Source organism: Homo sapiens, chromosome 20 (assembly GCF_000001405.40).
Source record: "Homo sapiens chromosome 20, GRCh38.p14 Primary Assembly".
Taxonomy (NCBI): domain Eukaryota; kingdom Metazoa; phylum Chordata; class Mammalia; order Primates; family Hominidae; genus Homo; species Homo sapiens.
Window position 1 is genome coordinate 33,721,767 of NC_000020.11, and position 18,288 is coordinate 33,740,054.

Here is an 18,288-nt window from a genome sequence, read left to right on the forward strand (position 1 = left end):
AATCTTATTTGTCTTGTTTTCTGCTGTAACCCCAACACTAGGCACATGGTGGGTACTCAACACTTGCTTGTTTAAGCAACACATAGTTTTGGGTTGTCATCTCTGAGAGCATTGATGGGTGACATTAACATATGATGTCACTATGTGGAGTTGTCACTGAATAACAGCTACACACTGAGTGGTGGCTGTGACTTGTGAGGGTGTCCCCTGGTACTTGGGCCATATGGTATTTACCAGTGATGTTATTTGCTCAGTGTCAGGGGACAATTTCAGAGGTCAATGAAGGAGGGAGTTGTGCTGGGCCTATTTTGTCACTGAAACTGGGTTGTCCGGGATTTTTCTTTTGTGATGGTAGGCTACTTTATTCAGTTCATCCTTCCTCTGAAGATAATGACTATGTTAGATAATATATTAAAATATCCTCTTAAAAACACTGAAGTTCCTTGGCTGGGCACAGTGGCTCATGCCTGTAATCCCAGCACTTTGGGAAGCCGAGGCGGGCGGATCACTTGAAGCCAGGAGTTCGAGACCACCCCTGACCAACATGGTGAAACCCCGTCTCTAAAAAATTAAAAAACAAAAACAAAAACAAAAAAACACTGAAGCTCTGCCAGGTGCGGTAGGTAGCTCACGCCTGTAATCCCGGCACTTTGGGAAGCCAAGGTGGGTGGATCTCTTGAGCCCAGGAGTTCAAGACCAGCCTGGGCAACATGGCGAAAACCCATCTCTACTAAAAATACAAAAATTAGCCAGGCCTGGTGGCACACACCTGTAGTCCCAACTACAGGTGCGGGAGGATCACCTGAGCCTGGAGAGGTCAACACTGCGGTGAGCGGTGATCACGCCACTGGACTCCAGCCTGGGTGACTGAGACCCTGTGTCAAACTGAAGTGCTTAAAAGTATGAGGAATGTGGCCGGGCACGGTGGCTCACGCCTTTAATCCCAGCACTTTGGGAGGGTGAGGTGGGTGGGTCACCTGGGGTCGGAGTTCGAGACGAGCCTGACCAACACAGAGAAATCCTGTCTCTACTAAAAATACAAAATTAGCCGGGCGTGGTGGCACGTGCCTGTAATCCCAGCTACTCAGGAGGCTGAAGCAGGAGAATCGCTTGAACCCGGGAGGCAGAGGTTGCAGTAAGCTGAGATCGCGCCGCTGCACTCCAGCCTGGGCAACCAGAGCGAAAGTCCATCTTTTTTTTTTTTTTTTTTGAGACGGAGTCTCGCTCTGTCGCCCAAGCTGGAATGCAGTGGTGCGATCTTGGCTCACTGCAAGCTCCACCTCCCGGGTTCACGCCATTCTCCTGCCTCAGCCTCCCGAGCAGCTGGGACTACAGGTGCCCACCACCACGCTGGGCTAATTTTTTGTATTTTTAGTAGAGATGGGGTTTCATCATGTTAGCCAGGATGGTCTCGATCTCCTGACCTCGTGATCCGCCCGCCTCCGCCTCCCAAAGTGCTGGGATTATAGGCGTGAGCCACCGCGCCCGGCCCGAAAGTCCATCTTAAAAAAAAAAAAAAAAGTATGAGGAATGCTCAGGCCAATTATGGAGTGAAAGCTGGTAACCAGATGCTTAACGGGAAGATTGGGATATTGGAGCACCAAGGCTACTTATGACATGAGGGCGTTTACCAATATTAAACCTGCAAGTTTCAGCTTGTCAACCACACAGGGCAAGAGGGACACAAGTGAAAATCTAGGGCCTCCCCAGGTGGGGAGCCATATAGCAGATCTCCTCACATTAAGCTGAGCCCCAAAGGGTGTTGCCCTCAAGTCTAATGTGAAATGAATCCACTGCACAACCCACACCACCAGCCCCTAGGAACTACAGAAAAGGCTGCCTTGGTGCTAAGCAGAACAGCTGAAGGAGAAGGAAAGAGGAATTTTTTTTTTAAAGCTCTTCCTTAGGAAGTTGTGATCATTGATGAGTTTTTTTGTACCCCAGGGAGTAGAGCCTGATATAATAGATCAAGAAAGCTCAAGCTATGAACTGGGAACCTGGTTTGAGATGATAACCGAGTAGATGTGCTCTCCAAACCCTTGGCAAAAAGGAAATACAGGCCGGGCACAGTGGCTCGCGCCTGTAATCCCAGCACTTTGGGAGGCTGAGGCAGGTGGATCACCTGAGGTCGGGAGTTCGAGACCAGCTTGGCCAACATGGTGAAACCTCATCTCTACTAAAAATACAAAAATTAGCTGGGCATGGTGGTGCGCGCCTGTAGTCCCAGTCACACAGGAGGCTGAGGCAGGAGAATCGCTTGAACCCGGGAGGCAGAGGTTGCAGTGAGCCGAGATCATGCCACTGCACTCCAGCCTGCCAACAGAGCAAGACTTCGTCTCAAAAAGAAAAAAAAGAAGAAAAAAAAAAGCAAAAATTAGCCCAGCATGGTGGCAGGCACCTGTAGTCCCAGCTACTCGGGAGGCTGAGGCATGAGAATCACTTGAACTCAGAAGACGAAGGGTGCAGTGAGCCAAGATGGCACCACTGCACTCCAGCGTGGGCGACAGAGCAAGACTCCATCTCAAAAAAAAAAAAAATTGTGCTCACGAAATTTAAAACTTAAAAAAATCAATATTGGGAGCAAAAAACTATTTATTTCATGGCAGATTTGAAAAGGAACCAAACAGAATTTCTAGAAATCTACTTCTACTGCTCCCATGAGGAGTCAGTCACAAAGTCCTGACATACGGCCCGGCATCAGAAGGTGTTTCGAAACTATTTGGTTTGGCAAGTTCTTCCTGGGTGCTCTCTTTTGCTAAGTACTTTCTCACATAGTTGAATAAGTTTCTGCCCTCAAGGGGCCCTGCAGGGTGCTAAGGATAGAGTTGCAATAATGGGGACGCTTATTATCTGGTGACCTTTTTAATTTTACGTAACTCTGAGTTCCTCAGTGCAGGGCCTGTTTGTTCACCTTTGCCCAGTAAGCACTTACAGAGAGTACAGTACTGAGTACTGCCTGTGGGCCAGGGATTGTTTCCTGAGTGCTTTCTTTTCTTTCTTTCTTTCTTTTTTTTTTTTTCTTTGAGACACAGTCTTGCTCTGTCACGCAGGCTGGAGTGCAGTGTGGCGTGATCTTGGCTCACTGCAACCTCCGCCTCCCAGGTTCAAGCCATTCTGCTGCCTCAGCCTCCTGAGTAGCTGCGATTACAGGCACCCACCACCACGCCCAGCTAATTTTTGTATTTTTAGTAGAAATGAGGTTTCACCATGTTGATCAGGCCGGTCTTGAACTCCTGACCTCAAGTGATCCTCCCGCCTGGACCTCCTAAAGTCACCGCGCCTGGCCCTAACCTTTTTTTTTTTTTGAGACAAGAGTCTTGCTCTGTTGCGCCCAGGCTGGAGTGCAGTGGCGCAATCTCGGCTCACCGCAACCTCTGCCTCTCAGGTTCAAGTGATTCTCCTGCCTCAGCCTCCCTAGTAGCTGGGATTACAGGTGCCCGTCACCATGTCCAGCTAATTTTTTTTTTTTGTATTTTTAGTAGAGATAGGGTTTCACTGTGTTGGCCTGGCTGGTCTTGAACTCCTGACCTTGCCAAACTCCAAGGCCCACCTCAGCCTCTCAAAGTGCTGGGATTACAAGCCTGAGCCACTGTGCCTGGCCGGACCTCGTTTAACCTTAATTAGCTCTTTATTTATTTATTTATTTATTTATTATTTGAGACAGAATCTTGCTCTGTCACCCAGGCTGGACTGCAGTGGCGCATCTGCCTCCCGGGTTCAAGTGATTCTCTTGCCTCAACCTCCCGAGTAACTGCGATTACAGGTGCGCGCCACCATGCCCAGCTAATTTTTGTACTTTTAGTAGAAACAGGGTTTCACCATGTTGGCCAGGCTGGTCTTGAACTCCCGACCTCAGCTAATCCACCCACCTCAGCCTCCCAAAGTGCTGGGATTACAAGCATGAGCCATCGCACCCGGCCCCTTAATTAGCTCTTTAAAGACTCAGGTTACAGTTACATTCTGAGGTACTAGGGGCTAGGACATCAACGTATGAATTTTGTGGGGAAGACACAATTCAATCCATAACAGCCACATGCTTTGCTGCTTACTACCAACACCAACCAACCTAACAAGATGTCAGGACCCAGCATTGCCTTGTGTGTCAGCACATTCTTCCCCTTGTAGCTGGGAGTCTGATTTAAGCATGAGATTCTTCCCTCCCCACAGAGAAGTTAATTTTTCTGGGGTGGCTGGAGCACTCACTGTGGAGTGGGACACTGGACGTTTCCCACTCTCCCTCCTCCCTGCTTGACCCCTTGCCTGGAATTATTACATTACCTACCCCAGGAGTCTCTAAGCTGTGATTGGATTCTGTTCGGTGCCAACCAGGTAGCCCCAAGGGAACTGGACATGTGACTGATAAGTGTTTGGTGGATGAAGAGATGCCAGTAAGGGGTGGAAAGTTTGGAGTGGGGGCAGCCTGACTGGGGAGCCTGCCAGAGGTGGGGCTCTACCTCCCTGAAACTCATTCAGTTCCATCGGTCAAGCCTTCAGTGAAGCATTTCCCAAGTTGCCTCTGTGCCAAGCCCTGGGGTCCAATTTGTGTGTGTGGGGGTGGTGGTGGGGTTCTTTTTTGAGATGAAGTCTTGCTCTGTAGCCCAGATCTCAGCTACAGGTAGCTGAGACAACAGGTATACTACAGGCATATGTGGCTCATATCTCAGCTTGCTGCAACCTCTGCCTCTTGGGTTCAAGCGATTCTCCTGCCCCAGCCTCCCAAGTAGCTGGGATTACAGGCATGCGCCATCATGCCTGGCTAATTTTTGTATTTTTAGTAGAGACACAGTTTGAGACAAGAGTCTTGTCTGGTCTTGAACTCCTGACCTCAGGTGATCTGCCCACCTGGGCCTCCCAAAGTGCTGGGATTACAGGTGTGAGCCATGGCGCATGGCCAAGCTCCTATTGTTGCAGGCGTTTCAGCAGGAGAGAACAGCATATGCAATATGCATCTATGCAACAGCATAGATGAAAATCTACTCTGCATATGCACCTGGTGGTATGGAAATATATGGGAAGCTGGCCAGGCACAGTGGCTCACATCTGTAATCCCAGCACTTTGGGAGGCCGAAGTGGGTGGATCACGAGGTCAGATCGAGACCATTCTGGCTCACACAGTGAAACCCCGTCTCTACTGAAAATACAAATACCCATACATCACTTATTACTCTCAGCTGCCCCTTTACAGTTCTTGGCCTCTTTTCATTTTGGCCTCAGGGCCTTTGCACTTGTTGGTCTCTCTGCCTTTCTCTTCTCTTTTCACATTGCTGACTCCAGCTTATTTCTCAGGCCCACTTCCTCAGACAGACTCCCCCTGACCATTCTGTCTAAAAGTAGCTTCCCCTCTTTCTGGAAAAAAAGTATTTAAAGTCATAGAAAATTTCTCTCTTTCTCTTTTTTTTTCCCCTTGTTTACAGCCCATCTCACCTAGCTAGACTAAGACTCCATGAAGGCAAGGATTTTTGTCTTTTGGTTCATGCCTGCATCCGCAGCATCTAGAATGGTGTCTAGCACACAGTAGGTGCTCAACAAATATTTTGAAAGTAATCAAATAAATGTGAACATATTCATTTCTTATTTGAATAATAAAACTAAAACAGGCCGGGCGTGGTGGCTCACGCCTATAATCCCAGCACTTTGGGAAGCTGAAGCAGGCAATTGCCTGAGCTCAGGAGTTCGAGGCCAGCCTGGCCAACATGGTGAAACACTGTCTCTGCAAAAAATACAAAAATTAGCTGGGCATGGTGGCAGGCACCTGTAGTCTAAGATACTTGAGAGGCTGAGGCACGAGAATCTCTTGAACCCGGGAGGTGGAGGTTGCAGTGAGCAGAGATTGGCCACTGCATTCCAGCCTGGGCAACACAACATGACTCTGTCTCAAAAAACAAAAAATAATAAATAAATAAATAAAACAAAAACAATAGGTATACTTTGCAGGCTTTGGTGATGCAGACAAACAAAGAATAGTTATATGGAGAAACTTGCAGGGGAGAGGGGAGAATCTGAGGCCATTGGATCAGTGAGCATGTTAGAGACAGGGAGGAAGGAACCCTGACTTTACCCTGCCAGCAAGGCAATGGAAGGGGGCGCTCACAGCTTGGGGTGTGCCCTTCAAGATTCCCAGGAAGGTAGGTGGGGTGTGGTGTCTTGGAGAAGAGTGGATTTCCTCTTTTTTCTTTTTCTCCTTTTTGTGGAGAATGGGGTCTCACTGTGTTGCCCCAGCTGGTCTTGAACTCCTAGGCTCAAGCGATCCTCCAGCCTCTGCCTCCCTAAATGCTGGGATGACAGGCTTGAGCCACTGCCCCTGGCAGGTTGGGTTTTCTGTGGGGAACATTTGCTCAGGGCTCACTGTGCAGGGGGGAATGGGAAGGGAAATGGAGGTAAGGGGGTAGCAGTGGTGTGCACAGGGGTGGTGTTCAGGGAAGTACAAGGAGTTCACCGGCAGAAATGGGCCTTGAGGGGGTAAATAGGCAGAGAGTCTGTGAGGCTATTCTGTGAAAGGGCCATATATACAAAGTGGTCCCCAAATGCCAACGGAGCCAAAAAACCAAGGAATGAGGCAGACAAATTCAGTTTGTCAGTAAAGGGTGTTTTAATGGGGGATCTTAAAAGCAGCATGGGCTTGGGCGGCAGCAAGACAGGAGATCTCTCCCTCTGTTACCCCAAGACTTAGGCCTTATATTCCACAGGGAAAGAGTTTTAAGTGCTCTCTGCAAGACAATTAAAGGAAACTTCCAGAGCAGACAAGAATGCTGTATGTTTCATAGCTTATAATTTATGCAATAACATCAGGGCGGCATATAGCTTATAATTTGTGCAATAACATCAGGCTGACTAGGGACAGTAAATAAAGTAGGAATCAGGAGGCATTCACGGGACTGGGGCTAATCAGAAGTCAACATGGGGGATTAGCATCCAAGATGGAGTCACTTTTGTCTCCACAGAGACAACTTGTCAGGAACAGTGGCTAGCAGGGTTCCCCAAGGGGAGAGGAACTTTGAAAAAACAATTTTAAAAAATTGTAGTTCACAGGTCTCAAACTCCTGGGCTCATGCAGTCCTCCTGCCTTGGCCTCTCAAAGTGCTAGGCTTAGAGCAGTGCGCCACCATGCCCAGCTGCAAACAAATAATTTTTAATTGTAGGAGTTATATAGTGAATACAAGAAAATGAAAATTATGATATTTGTTATTTATTTAGCTGAGGCTAAAATAGGTATTTTAGTAAAACCAATGAGAACATTTAGAGTCCAATCCATGGTTGTCCCGTTGTATGACGATGTGGCCATGATCATGGGAGAGATTCATGATTGATGGTGACAAAGATTCTTTGCTTGCTGTAACTGCTTGGTCAGACTTTGGAATCTTCTGCTAGGCCCACCTGTGCACTTCTTTGTAAAATCTAGTTTTCACAAAGAATGCTTTAAGTCAGTTTAGCAGGAACCCCCATCCTTAATATTTAATCATCCTAGATATCTGATCAGGTTCCTCATCTGTCACCATCTCCTAGGTGATGTTGATTACCCTAGCCCATCTTCAGCAAGAATCCTGTTAGGTCGGTTTAGCCAGAATTCCCCTTACCTCCGATGTTTCCTCTTGGTAATTTTCTATCAACTGACCTCCCTACCCCCAGCCCCCATGATGTTCCTCGGCTATAAATTCCCACTTGCCTATGCTGTATTCAGAGTTGAGCCCAGTCTCTCTCCCCCACTGCAAGGCCCCTTTGTAGTGGTACCTATCGCAGTAGTTCTGAATAAAGCCTTCCTTATTGTGTTTGTGTTTTAGCAAAGATCATTGAACAATTTTTTTTCTTTTTTTTTTTTTTTTTTTGAGACAGGGTCTCATTCTGTCACCCGGGCTGGCATGCAGTGACATGATCATGGCTCACTGCAGCTTTGACTTCTCTGGCTCAAGAAATCCTCTCACCTCAGCATCCCTACCTAGTAGCTGGGATTATAGGTATGTGCCACATACCTGGCTAATATTTTTAAAAATCATTTGTGGAGATGCTGGTCTGACTATGTTACCTGGGCTGGTCTCCAATTTCTGGGCTCAAGCAATCCTCCCGCCACCTCAGCCTCCCAAAGTGCTGGGATTACAGAGGAGCCACCACACCCAGGTAAATAATTTTTTCTTTTTCTTTTTTTTTTTAAATTTGAGATGGAGTTTTGCTTTTGTTGTCCAGGCTGGAGTGCAGTGGCGTGATCTCGGCTCACCGCAACCTTCGCCTCCCGGGTTCAAGCAATTATCCTGCCTCAGCCTCCCGAGTAGCTGGGATTATAGGCATGTGCCACCATGGCCACCTAATTTTATTTATTTATTGTTTTTAAGTAGAGACGGGGTTTCTCCATGTTGGTCAGGCTGGTCTCAAACTCCCGACTTCAGGTGATCTGCCCACCTTGGCCTCCCAAAGTGCTGGGATTACAGGCGTGAGCCACTGTGCCCGGCCTAATTTTTTCTTTAACAATAGCCCCTTCCTTAGTTTCCCCCTCCCCTCTATGCACTCCCTAAACTCTTGCTTGTTTCCCAAGGGTACTTTGAAACCACTATCACACATTGATTATTGAGAAAGGGTCTCACTCTGTTGCCTAGGCTTGAGTGCAGTGGTGAGATCATAGCCCACTGCAGCCTCTACTTCCTAGGCTTAAGCAATTCTCCTGCCTCAGCCTCCTGAGTAGCTGGTACTCAAGTGCAAACCACCATGCCCAGCTACTTTTGTTGTTGTTGTTGAGACGGGGTCTCACTATGTTGCTCAGACAGGTCTCAAACTCCTGGATACAAATGATCCTCCAGCCTCAGCCTCCCAAAGTGCTGGGATTACAGGTGTGAACCACTGTGGCCGGCATACACATTGTAATTAAATAACCTTTAAGATTTAATGTCGGTCTTTTTTTTTTTTTTTGAGACAGAGTCTTGCTCTGTCGCTAGGCTGGAGTCTGTGGCACGATCTCGGCTCACTGCAACCTCTGACTCCCTGGTTCAAGCAATTCTCCTGCCTCAGCCTCCCAAGTAACTGGGATTACAGGCACGTGCCACCATGCCCAGATAATTTTTATATTTTTAGTAGAGACGGGGTTTCACTAGGTTGGCCAGGATGGTCTCGAACTCCTGACCTCGTGATCCGCCTGCCTCGGCCTCCCAAAGTGCTGGGATTACAGGCATGAGCCGCCGCGCCTGGCCTAATGTCGGTCTTTCTTCCCACCTCTAACTCCATGGGAAAGGACCACCATGTCTCTAGAGCTATTACGGGACTTGGTGCATAGCAGGCCGTTAATAAGCAGTTGATGGAGGATGAATGAAGATGAGAGGGGTCTGTGTGTGTAGGGGAAGTCCCAGTGAGGAGCACCTCTCATTCTGTGAGACCTGGATAGGACCCCTCGGAGGCTGGGCTAGGAGTGGCTGGGGTGGGTGTTGGGGGTTTATGTGACAGAAATGGGGTCCCAACAAGCAGGGATGGAGGGTGAAGAGATGGAGTTACTTAAGAGATAATGGGATCCCCAGCACGGAGACCCACGCCTGTAATCCCAGTGCTTTGGGAGGCCGAGACGTGAGGATCGCTGGAGGCCAGAAGTTGACACCAGCCTGGACAAAATAGTGAGACCCTGATCTCTACAAAAAAATAAAAATAAAAATTAGTAGGACATGGTGGCGTGTGCCGGTAGTCCCCGCTACTCTGGAGGCTGAGGCGGGCTCCCAACAGGCAGAGTTGAGCAGGGTAGTAGGGGCGGGAAGTCTCTAATAGGGGATGAGGGATGGGAATCTATGTTGTACAGCCTGGAGATCCCTGTGACAGTTGGGTGGTCTGGGTGAGATGGGATAGGGGTCATGGTTTGTTGCAGAGTCGGGGTATACTGTGCTCAGCGGAAATGGGGTCCGTGCAGCAGACCTGGAGGACTCACGTGCTGTGGGAATGGGGGATTCTGTGTCAGAGCTGGGGGGTCGGGTCCGGTGAGATGGGGATGCGGATTTAGATAATAGGGATGGGAAGTTCCGCGTGTGCGGCGGATATAAGGTCGGTGTAGACTTGGTCGTTCAAGTGAGGCGGGGTCCACACTCGGTGGCCCGGTGACTGGGTTATCGAGTGGAGCCAGGGCAGCCCAGAGATGCTGGGGTCCCGCGAGCCTAGGTTGGGTTTCCAGGGCTGGGGGCTCGGCGGCGGCTCCTGGGCGCCCCCTGGCGGCCCCGACTCAACCGCCACGGCTCCCACAATGCTCGCGTAGCCGGGCTTCGGTTCCTGTGGCGGCGACGGCGGCGGCTCCAAGATGGCGCAGGCGATCTTTGAGGCCCTGGAGGGTGAGCGGCGGCGGGGCCGGCGGAGGCGGCTGTTCCGCGCTGCGCCCCCTCCCGCCGCGCCCTCGCAGCGCCCGGCCTAGGGCGCGCAGCGGCCGCGGGGCGGAGGGCGCCGGGGCTGGAACAGCCGCGGGGCGGGAGGGGCGCGGGCGGGAACAGCGCGGGAGCCGAGGCCCGGCGGGGGAGCTCCGGGGCCGGAACAGCCGGGGAGAGCCAGGCCGGCGGGGAGGGGGCTCGGGTCCGGAACAGCGCCAGCCTGGGCGGCCTTGGGCGGGCGCGGGAGGGGCTCCCTGCAGGGAACTGCGCGGGAGGCGACGGCGGGGCGGTCTGGAACAGCCGCGGCCAGGGAGGCGGCTTGGCGGCGCGCGGGGCCCGGGACGGGGGTGCGGTCGCAGCTGCGGGCAGGAGGGCCTCGGCGGCCTGACCACGAAGAACTTCTGCGGAGCGGACTGTATGCCTCGTGCTAGGACGTAGTCTCAAAATCAGACCACAGCAGCAGAGGCGCCACCTGTGTGCACAGCCTGGACTCAGAGCTTAGGGACCCAAGCCAGCAAACACCTGGCGCCTGCAGTGCGCACCGTGGCCGGTGCAGTTTTACAAATTAAACTGACACCGTGGGTGCTGGCGCGGTGTGCCCGGCCGGGACGCGGTGTTCCCAGACCCAGGCCAGCAAACGCTGGGTGCCGACAGACTGTTCCGTGCTCTGCAAGAACCTGGGATGGGGTTGGTGCTCAGGCTCAAAACTGTGGGCTTTGGAGACAGCAAACACTGAGCACCTCCATGTGTGCATCTGCTGGGCGTCGGGGAGGAAGGGCAGCCTTAGCGACTCGGGGCCATGGCGCAGAATAGATATTGTGGGAAATACAGACCAAGAATGGTCTTGGAGGAGTGGGATGAGATGAGTATACAGATAGGGTGCAAACTCGAAGTACTGGACTGGCGGGATGAAGCTGAAGCTTTGAGTCCTGCAGCTTCCTAGGAGATCTCAGCCACTCCCTGCACTTTTTAATTTTTTGAGACGGAGTCTCACTCTGTCGCCCAGGCTGGAGTGCAGTGGCGCGATCTCGGCTCACTGCAACCTCCCCCTCCCAGGTTTGAGCGATTCTCGTGCCTCCGCCTCCTGAGTAGCTGGGACTATAGGCGTGCACCACCACACCCGGCTAATTTCCTTTTTTTTTTTTTTTTTTGAGACAGAGTCTTGCTCTGTTGCCCAGGCTGGAGTGCAGTGGAGCGATCTCGGCTCACTGCAACCTCCGCTTCCCGGGGTTCACGCCATTCTTCTGCTTCTTCTGCCTCAGCCTCGAGAGCAGCTGAGACTACAGGCATCCGCCACCACGCCCGGCTAATTTTTTTTTTTTTTTGTATTTTAAGTAGAGACGGGGTTTCACCGTGTTAGCGAGCATGGACTCGATCTCGTGACCTCGTGATCCGCCCGCCTTGGCCTCCCAAAGTGCTGGGATTACAGGCGTGAGCCACCGCGCCCGGCCATTTTTTTGTATTTTTAATAGAGACGGAGTTTCACCATGTTGGCCAGATTGGTCTTGAACTCCTGGCCTCAAGTGATCTGCCCGCCTCAGCCTCCCAAAGTGCTGGGATTACAGGCGTGAGCGACTGCTCCAGGACTCCCTTCACTTCTTGAAGGATCACAATTCGCACCAGGAAATGGGGGGCGGGGTAGCCCTGTCTCCATCTAGTGGGGTTCCGATTCAAAGACTGACTGAGACAGACACTCCCTGTAGTTTCTGCCCTGCAGTCTGGTAGAGGAGAGAAATTATAAAACAAGCAATTATAGAAATTATAGAATTATGGAAAAGGTCATGTAGAATAAGATGACCTCAGCTGGCCATTCCTACTGTGAATAACATAAGCAGGAGGTGGTGGATCAGGAAGGCCGAGGTCAGTGGTAGTTCCCTCCCAGAGGCCAATAGAATGGGGTGAGGCTTACTTTCTCTTTAGGCTGTTTGGACTTCCTCATTGTTTGAATATTTACTGCAAGAATGTGTTTGTGTATTGAGTAATGAAGACAGTTAAAGAGAAATCAGTTCCTAGGACAGTGGGATGCATGTTGGGTGAAGAAAGGGCAGCAGGACTGTGGAGATCTAGGGGAGGAGGGCAGGAGAATGGCCCAGGCAGCAGGAACTGCATTTTCAAAGCCCTGGGGAGAAAGGTCTCCTGGGATTCACAGAAGCTGGGTGTGGGTGAACTGCTAGAGATGGGGTTTGATGGAGCAGCTAAACTTTATCTTGGGATCAGTGTGGAGCTAACAAAAGGTTTTCAGCAGGGGAGCAGCACAATGTGATGTATGTTTTATAAAGTTCACCCTAGCTGCTCTGGAACAGACTGGAGGGGGCCAGAGTGGCAGTGGGGGGTCGGGGTGGAGGCTGCTGAGGTTGTACAGCAGAGAACTGGGCTGGTAAACAACTGTGGGGATGGAAAGACAGTTTATTTGAGATGTATTGGGGAGACAGAATAGGCTAGACTTGCAGAAGAACCAGAAATGGGGAGTGGGGAGGGGGAGCAGTGGGTTGAGGGAAGACCCAAGTGGTGCCGCCCCAGAGGGTGCCCTGGTGCCCTGTTCTCCTTGATGAGGATTACTGGAAGAACAAACTTTGGGGTGGAGGATGACATTTAATTCAAGTTCAGTTTTACACAGGCTGCCTTTTTTTTGTTTTTGAGACAGCATCTCACACTGTCTCCCAGGCTGAAGTGCAGTGGTGCAATCTTGGCTCAATGCAGCCTCCACCTCCTGGGTTCAAGTGATTCTTGTACCTCAGCCTCCCGAGTAGCTGAGACTACAGGCACATGCCACCACGTCTGGCTAATTTTTGTATTTTTAATAGAGAAGGGGGTTTCACCATGTTGGCCAGGCTGGTCTCAAACTCCTGACCTCAAGTGATCCACCCATCTCTGCCTCCCAAAGTGCTGGGATTACAGGCATGAGCCACTGAGCCTGGCCCAGGCTGCCTTTTTAATTTAATTTAACTTAATTTTTTATTTTTTTGTGACACTCTCACTCTGTCACCCAAGCTGGACTGGGGTGGTGCGATCTTGGCTCACTGCAACCTCTGCCTCCCAGGTTCAAGCGATTCTCCTGCCTCAGCCTCTTGAGTAGCTGGGATTACAGGCGCTTACCACCACGCCTGACTAATTTTGTATTTTTTAGTAGAGACGGGGTTTCACCATGTTGGCCAGGCTAGTCTCGAACTCTTGACCTCAAGTGATCTGCCCGCCTTGGCCTCCAAAGTGATGGGATTGCAGGCGTGAGGCACTGTGTCCAGCCAGCCTTTTTTATTTTTATTTGTAGAGACAGGATCTCACTCTGTCTCCAAAGCTGGAGTGCAGTAGTGCATTCATAGCTCACTGCAGCCTCAAACTCCTGGGCTCAAGTGATCCTCCCACCTCAGCCTCCCAGGTGCGTGCCAGGACACCCAGCCAATTTTTTAAATTTTCTAGAGATGAGGTCTTGCTATGTTGCCCAGGTTGATCTTGAACTCCTAGCATCAAGCAGTCCTCCTGCATTGACTTCCCAAAGTGTTAGGATTACAGGCATGAGGCACTGTACCCACCCTGCATTTGTTTAAATTTTTTTATTTTGAAATCACTTTTTCTGTAGATTCACATGCAGTTGTGGGAAATGATAAAGAGAGATCCCACGTGTCCTTGACCCCATTTCCCCTGGTGTAACATTTTGCACAACTACAGTGTGTTACCACCAGTCAACATACAGAACAGGGGCATCACTCCAAGGAGTTGCCCTTTTATAGCCACACCCTAAATCCTCCCCTTCTCCCACCATCCTTGATGCCTGGCAACCACTAATCTGTCTCCATTTGTAAAATTTTGTGATTTCAAGAATACTATATAAATGAAATCATAAAGTGTATACCATTGAGATGGGCTTTTTTCACCCGTCATAATTCCCTAGTGATTCATCCAAGTTGTTGTGTATAGCAATAGTTTGTTCCTTTTTATTGCTTAGTAGTATTCCATAGTATGGCTATTTCACCATTTAACCACTCACTGAAGAACATCTGAACTGTTTCCAGTTTTTACTATTTTTTTTTTTAGACCCTGTCTCAAAAAAAAAAAAAAGTAAAAACTGGAAACAGTTCAGATGTTCTTCTGAACCATTTCCTACACCCTCTATCTCCTCTACTACCTTCTGGCCCTCCTCCCCCACTCTAGTGGGGCTTAAGCCCCCCACCATTCTGAAACTGCCTCTGCAAAAATTGTAACAGTGAGAAAATCATGACAGAGAAAGACGCCTGACCTAACCAATCCCTACCTTGCCTTTAACCTCCAAACTGCCCTTAGTCATCCCCGGGCTTGGGCCAAGCTAACTTCGGCAGAAATTTAATTTACAGTTTAAATGATAATAGCCCTTCCCCAAAACTAAACTGTCTTTGTAAAGCTATTGAAAGACCACCAGGTTTTCACCTGGGCAACATGGGGAGATTCCATCTCAAAGTGTTCACTGTTGCCCAGGCTGGAGTGCAGTGGCATGATCTTGGCTCACTGCAACCTCCACATCCCAAGTTCAAGCGATTCTCCTGCCTCAGCCTCCCGAGTAGCTGGGACTACAGGTGCGTGCCTCCACACCCAGCTAATTTTTTCTATTTTTAGTAGGGACGGGTTTCACCATGTTGCCCAGGCTAAATTTTTTACTGTTATACCTAAAAGTGCTATGAACATTTGTATACAGATTTGCACACAAATGCTAAAACACTCACAATTTTGCATAAAATGGTAGAAGATTCACTGAAGCTTGTTCAGGAGAGCTTGAACCCCAGGCTTGAAACTCCAGATATTGGAAGGAAGTAGACTGGGGTGAGTGAGACTGCCCAGGGACAGCATGAGAGGCAGAGGTGAGAGAGTCCAGACAAAGGAACAAAGGACAAAGTGTTTCCTCAAAATGGAAACACTTAGGGGGTGGCCAGGAGAAGAGAGTAAAGGAGGCACAGAAAGGTAGAGAAGACCCAGGAAGGCTGTGCCCTGGAGCCAAGAACAGAGTGTTTCAGGGAGTGGCAGGTGCTGCCAGATGGTCTTTGGTGATGATGGGGAAAGTGTTTTGGTGGAACTGTAACCATCCAATGGGTTCATTTTGCCTGCTGCCCAGATACAGCCAATTTATCAAGACAGGGGAATTGCGACAGAGAAAAAGTTACATTCACACAGAGCCAGCTGAACAGGAGACTGGAATTGTGTTATTACTCAAATCAGCCTCCTAGAAAATTCAGAGACTAGGTTTTTTATTTTTATTTATTTATTTATTTTTTATTTTTTATTTTTTGAGACGTAGTCTCGCTCTGTTGCCCAGGCTGGAGTGCAATGGCGTGATCTCACCTCACTGCAACCTCCGCCTCCTGGGTTCACGCCATTCTCCTGCCTCAGCCTCCCAAGTAGCTGGGACTGCAGGCACCTGCCACCATGCCCGGCTAATTTTTTATATTTTTAGTAAGGATGGGGTTTTACCGTATTAGCCAGGATGGTCTTGATCTCCTGACCTCATGATCTGCCCACCTTGGCCTCCCAAAATGCTGGGATTACAGGCGTGAGCCACCATGCCCAGCCAGACACTAGGTTTTTTCAAAGATAGTTTGGGGGACAAGGGAATGGGTGCTGTTGATTGGTTGGAGGTGCAATCATAGAGTTGTGGAAAATGGTCCTCCTACATGCAGAGTCTGCTTCTGGGTGGGGCTGCAGGACTCATTGGCGAGTCTACGTGGAGCCATTGGTTGTCAGAAATGCAAAAATCTGAAAAGATATCTCAAAAGGCTAATCTTAGGTTCTATAATAATGATGTTGGGGCCAGGTGCGGTGGCTCACACCTGTAACCCCAGCACTTTGGGAGGTCAAGGCGGGCAGATCACCTGAGGTCAGGAGTTTGAGACCAGCCTGACCAACATGGAGAAACCCTGTCATTACTAAAAGTACAAAATTAGCCAGGCATGGGGGCGTGTGCCTATAATCCCAGCTACTCGGGAGGCTGAGGCAGGAAAGTTGCTTGAACCCGGGAGACAGAGGTTGCAGTGAGCCAAGATTGCGCCATTGCACTCCAGCCTGGGCAACAAGAGTGAAACTCCATCTCAAAAAAAAAAAAAAAAGTTGGCCAGGCGTGGTGGCTCATGCCTGTATTCCCAGCACTTTGGGAGGCCAAGGTGGGAGGATCCCTTGAGTGCAAGAGTTTGAGACTGTCCTGGGCAACATAGGGAGATTCTATCTCAAAATAATAATAATGATAATAATATTATATGCAGGAGTAATTGGGGAAGTTGCAAATCTTGTGATCTCTGGAATAATGGCTGGTAATATTTATGTCTACACCTTACCAGAATGTAGGTTCCTCTTATCCTCCTAACCTCATGGTCTTTCATTAGCTTCACAAAGGAGGGTTAGTTTTGGGGAAGGGCTATTATCATTTAAACTGTAAACTAAATTTCTCCCTAGTTATCTTGGCCCAAGCCCAGGGATTACTAAGGGCAGTTTGGAGGTTAAAGGCAAGATGGGGGTTCGTTAGGTCAGGTGTCTTTCACTGTCATGATTTTCTCACTTTGCAACTTTTTCAAAGGTGGTTCCAGATAGTGGAGGGCTTAAGTCCCACTAGAGTGGGGAAGGAGAACTGGAAGGTGGTAGAAGAGATAGAGGGTGTAGGTGACCCTCATGGGATACTTGCCATTGAAGGGAGGAGAGATGGAAACATGAATTTGCAGGAGGGCACTCTGGAGAGACTGATCGTGTGTAGCTGTGGATGGTTCCCAGGCACAGTGTGGTGAGAGTTGGTGGAGAGTGGCTTCTGAGGAGCAGGAGGAGATGGAGGGGAGGGCTGCGCTGGCAGCGTCAGGAGGGACACAGCCTGCATTGTGACAAGGGAAGGCATGGATTCAGTTTGGCTGCAGTAGCTGATGGTTTCAATTTTTTATTTTATTTTATTTTATTTTTGAGACGGAGTCTCACTCTGTCACCCAGGCTGGAGTGCAGTGGCGCCATCTCCGCTCACTGCAACCTCCACCTCCCGGGTTCAAGCAGTTCTCTGCCTCAGCCTCCCTAGTAGCTGGGATTACAGGCACCCACCACCATGCCCAGCTAATTTTTGTATTTTTAGTAGAGATGGGGTTTCACCATCTTGGCCAGGCTAGTCTTGAATTCCTAACCTCGTGATTCACCCGCCCCTGCCTCCCAAAGTGCTGGAATTACAGGCGTGAGCCACCATGCCCGGCCAGAGATAACTGGTCTGATGGTTTCAATTTGCATTGCAGTTAGAAGCTGGGGAAGACATCCCAGTAAAAGCTGAGAGGTTGGAGGCAGAGCATCGGCTGTGGGGTCATAGAGAGGAGGCACCATCTGGGTCTTTTGGGAGTGGCACAGTGTGCCTTGGTGGCCACTGAGATGTGAGGAGGCCTGTCATCCGGCTAGTGACATGGCCAGACAGTGTACTACTGTGAACTTCAACTGTGATAACTGATTAGAAAACATGGAAGAAGTCAGTTTCTCGATCCCCCAGCCACCAATTCAGAGTCTATTGTTTATTGCAGAACAAAAAAGATAGACACACATTGAGAAATAAGGAAGGCAAGGACGCCCGCGTGCACACAGATTTGTGGGGTTTGGGGAGTGTGCATGAGGAAAACTGGCTAACGTGATTTCTGGAGGGACTTTGTCACCTAGGATTAGCGTCAGCCATGAGTAAGACAGGCCCCACGTCACAGTGGCTTCAACAGGCTGGAAGGTTATTTCTTTCACATGAAAGTCCAGAGGAAGGCAGTCTAAGATAGGAAGATGGCTGTGTTCTACAAGGTTCTCAGAGGCCCAGGATTTATCCAGCTTTTTTTTTTGAGACAGAGTTTCGCTCTTGTTGCCCAGGCTGGAGTGCAGTGGCAGGATCTCAGCTCACTGCAACCTCTGCCTCCTGGGTCCAAGTGATTCTCCTGCCTCAGTCTCCCAAGTAGTTGGGATTACAGGCACACACCACCACGCCCAGCTAATTTTGTATTTTTAGTAGAGACAG

The 18,288-nt window shown here is 49.7% G+C and overlaps 1 protein-coding gene and 1 long non-coding RNA gene across 6 annotated transcripts in view, besides 6 other annotated features; one reads left to right on the forward strand and one right to left on the reverse strand.

Moving 5' to 3' along the window:
* LOC124904890 (uncharacterized) lies at nucleotides 7,171-10,217 on the reverse strand. 2 transcript variants are annotated; one of them, XR_007067568.1, is made up of 2 exons: nucleotides 9,893-10,217; nucleotides 7,171-7,395 (listed from the first exon to the last, which is right to left on the reverse strand). It is a non-coding gene; the product is annotated as an uncharacterized LOC124904890 (long non-coding RNA). The 2 variants fall into 2 exon arrangements; XR_007067569.1 differs by having other exon boundaries at nucleotides 9,880-10,217.
* Nucleotides 9,801-9,860: an enhancer, noted in NCBI's record as "active region_17742". NCBI's record gives its function as "activates an Ori minimal core promoter by ATAC-STARR-seq in GM12878 lymphoblastoid cells {active_cell/tissue: GM12878}" and the evidence as "EXISTENCE:reporter gene assay evidence [ECO:0000049][PMID:35858748]".
* Nucleotides 9,871-9,930: an enhancer, noted in NCBI's record as "active region_17743". NCBI's record gives its function as "activates an Ori minimal core promoter by ATAC-STARR-seq in GM12878 lymphoblastoid cells {active_cell/tissue: GM12878}" and the evidence as "EXISTENCE:reporter gene assay evidence [ECO:0000049][PMID:35858748]".
* Nucleotides 10,041-10,750: a silencer, noted in NCBI's record as "silent region_12821". NCBI's record gives its function as "represses an Ori minimal core promoter by ATAC-STARR-seq in GM12878 lymphoblastoid cells {active_cell/tissue: GM12878}" and the evidence as "EXISTENCE:reporter gene assay evidence [ECO:0000049][PMID:35858748]".
* ZNF341 (zinc finger protein 341) overlaps nucleotides 10,230-18,288 on the forward strand; it is a 60,274-nt gene continuing 52,215 nt past the window's right edge. For all 4 annotated transcript variants that reach the window (NR_104259.2, NM_001282933.2, NM_032819.5 and 1 more), the window contains exon 1: nucleotides 10,230-10,286. Coding sequence is in view for 2 of the 4 variants with exons in the window: in NM_001282933.2 (NP_001269862.1) it covers nucleotides 10,256-10,286 (31 nt within the window). In the remaining 2 variants the exon portion in view is untranslated. The remainder of the gene's footprint in view (nucleotides 10,287-18,288) is intronic.
* Nucleotides 11,599-12,302: an enhancer, noted in NCBI's record as "H3K27ac-H3K4me1 hESC enhancer chr20:32321171-32321874 (GRCh37/hg19 assembly coordinates)". NCBI's record gives its function as "activates a minimal SCP1, AML or CMV promoter by ChIP-STARR-seq in naive and primed H9 embryonic stem cells {active_cell/tissue: H9 hESC(naive and primed)}" and the evidence as "EXISTENCE:reporter gene assay evidence [ECO:0000049][PMID:30033119]".
* Nucleotides 11,599-12,340: a biological region, named in NCBI's record as "H3K27ac-H3K4me1 hESC enhancer GRCh37_chr20:32321171-32321874".
* Nucleotides 12,261-12,340: an enhancer, noted in NCBI's record as "active region_17744". NCBI's record gives its function as "activates an Ori minimal core promoter by ATAC-STARR-seq in GM12878 lymphoblastoid cells {active_cell/tissue: GM12878}" and the evidence as "EXISTENCE:reporter gene assay evidence [ECO:0000049][PMID:35858748]".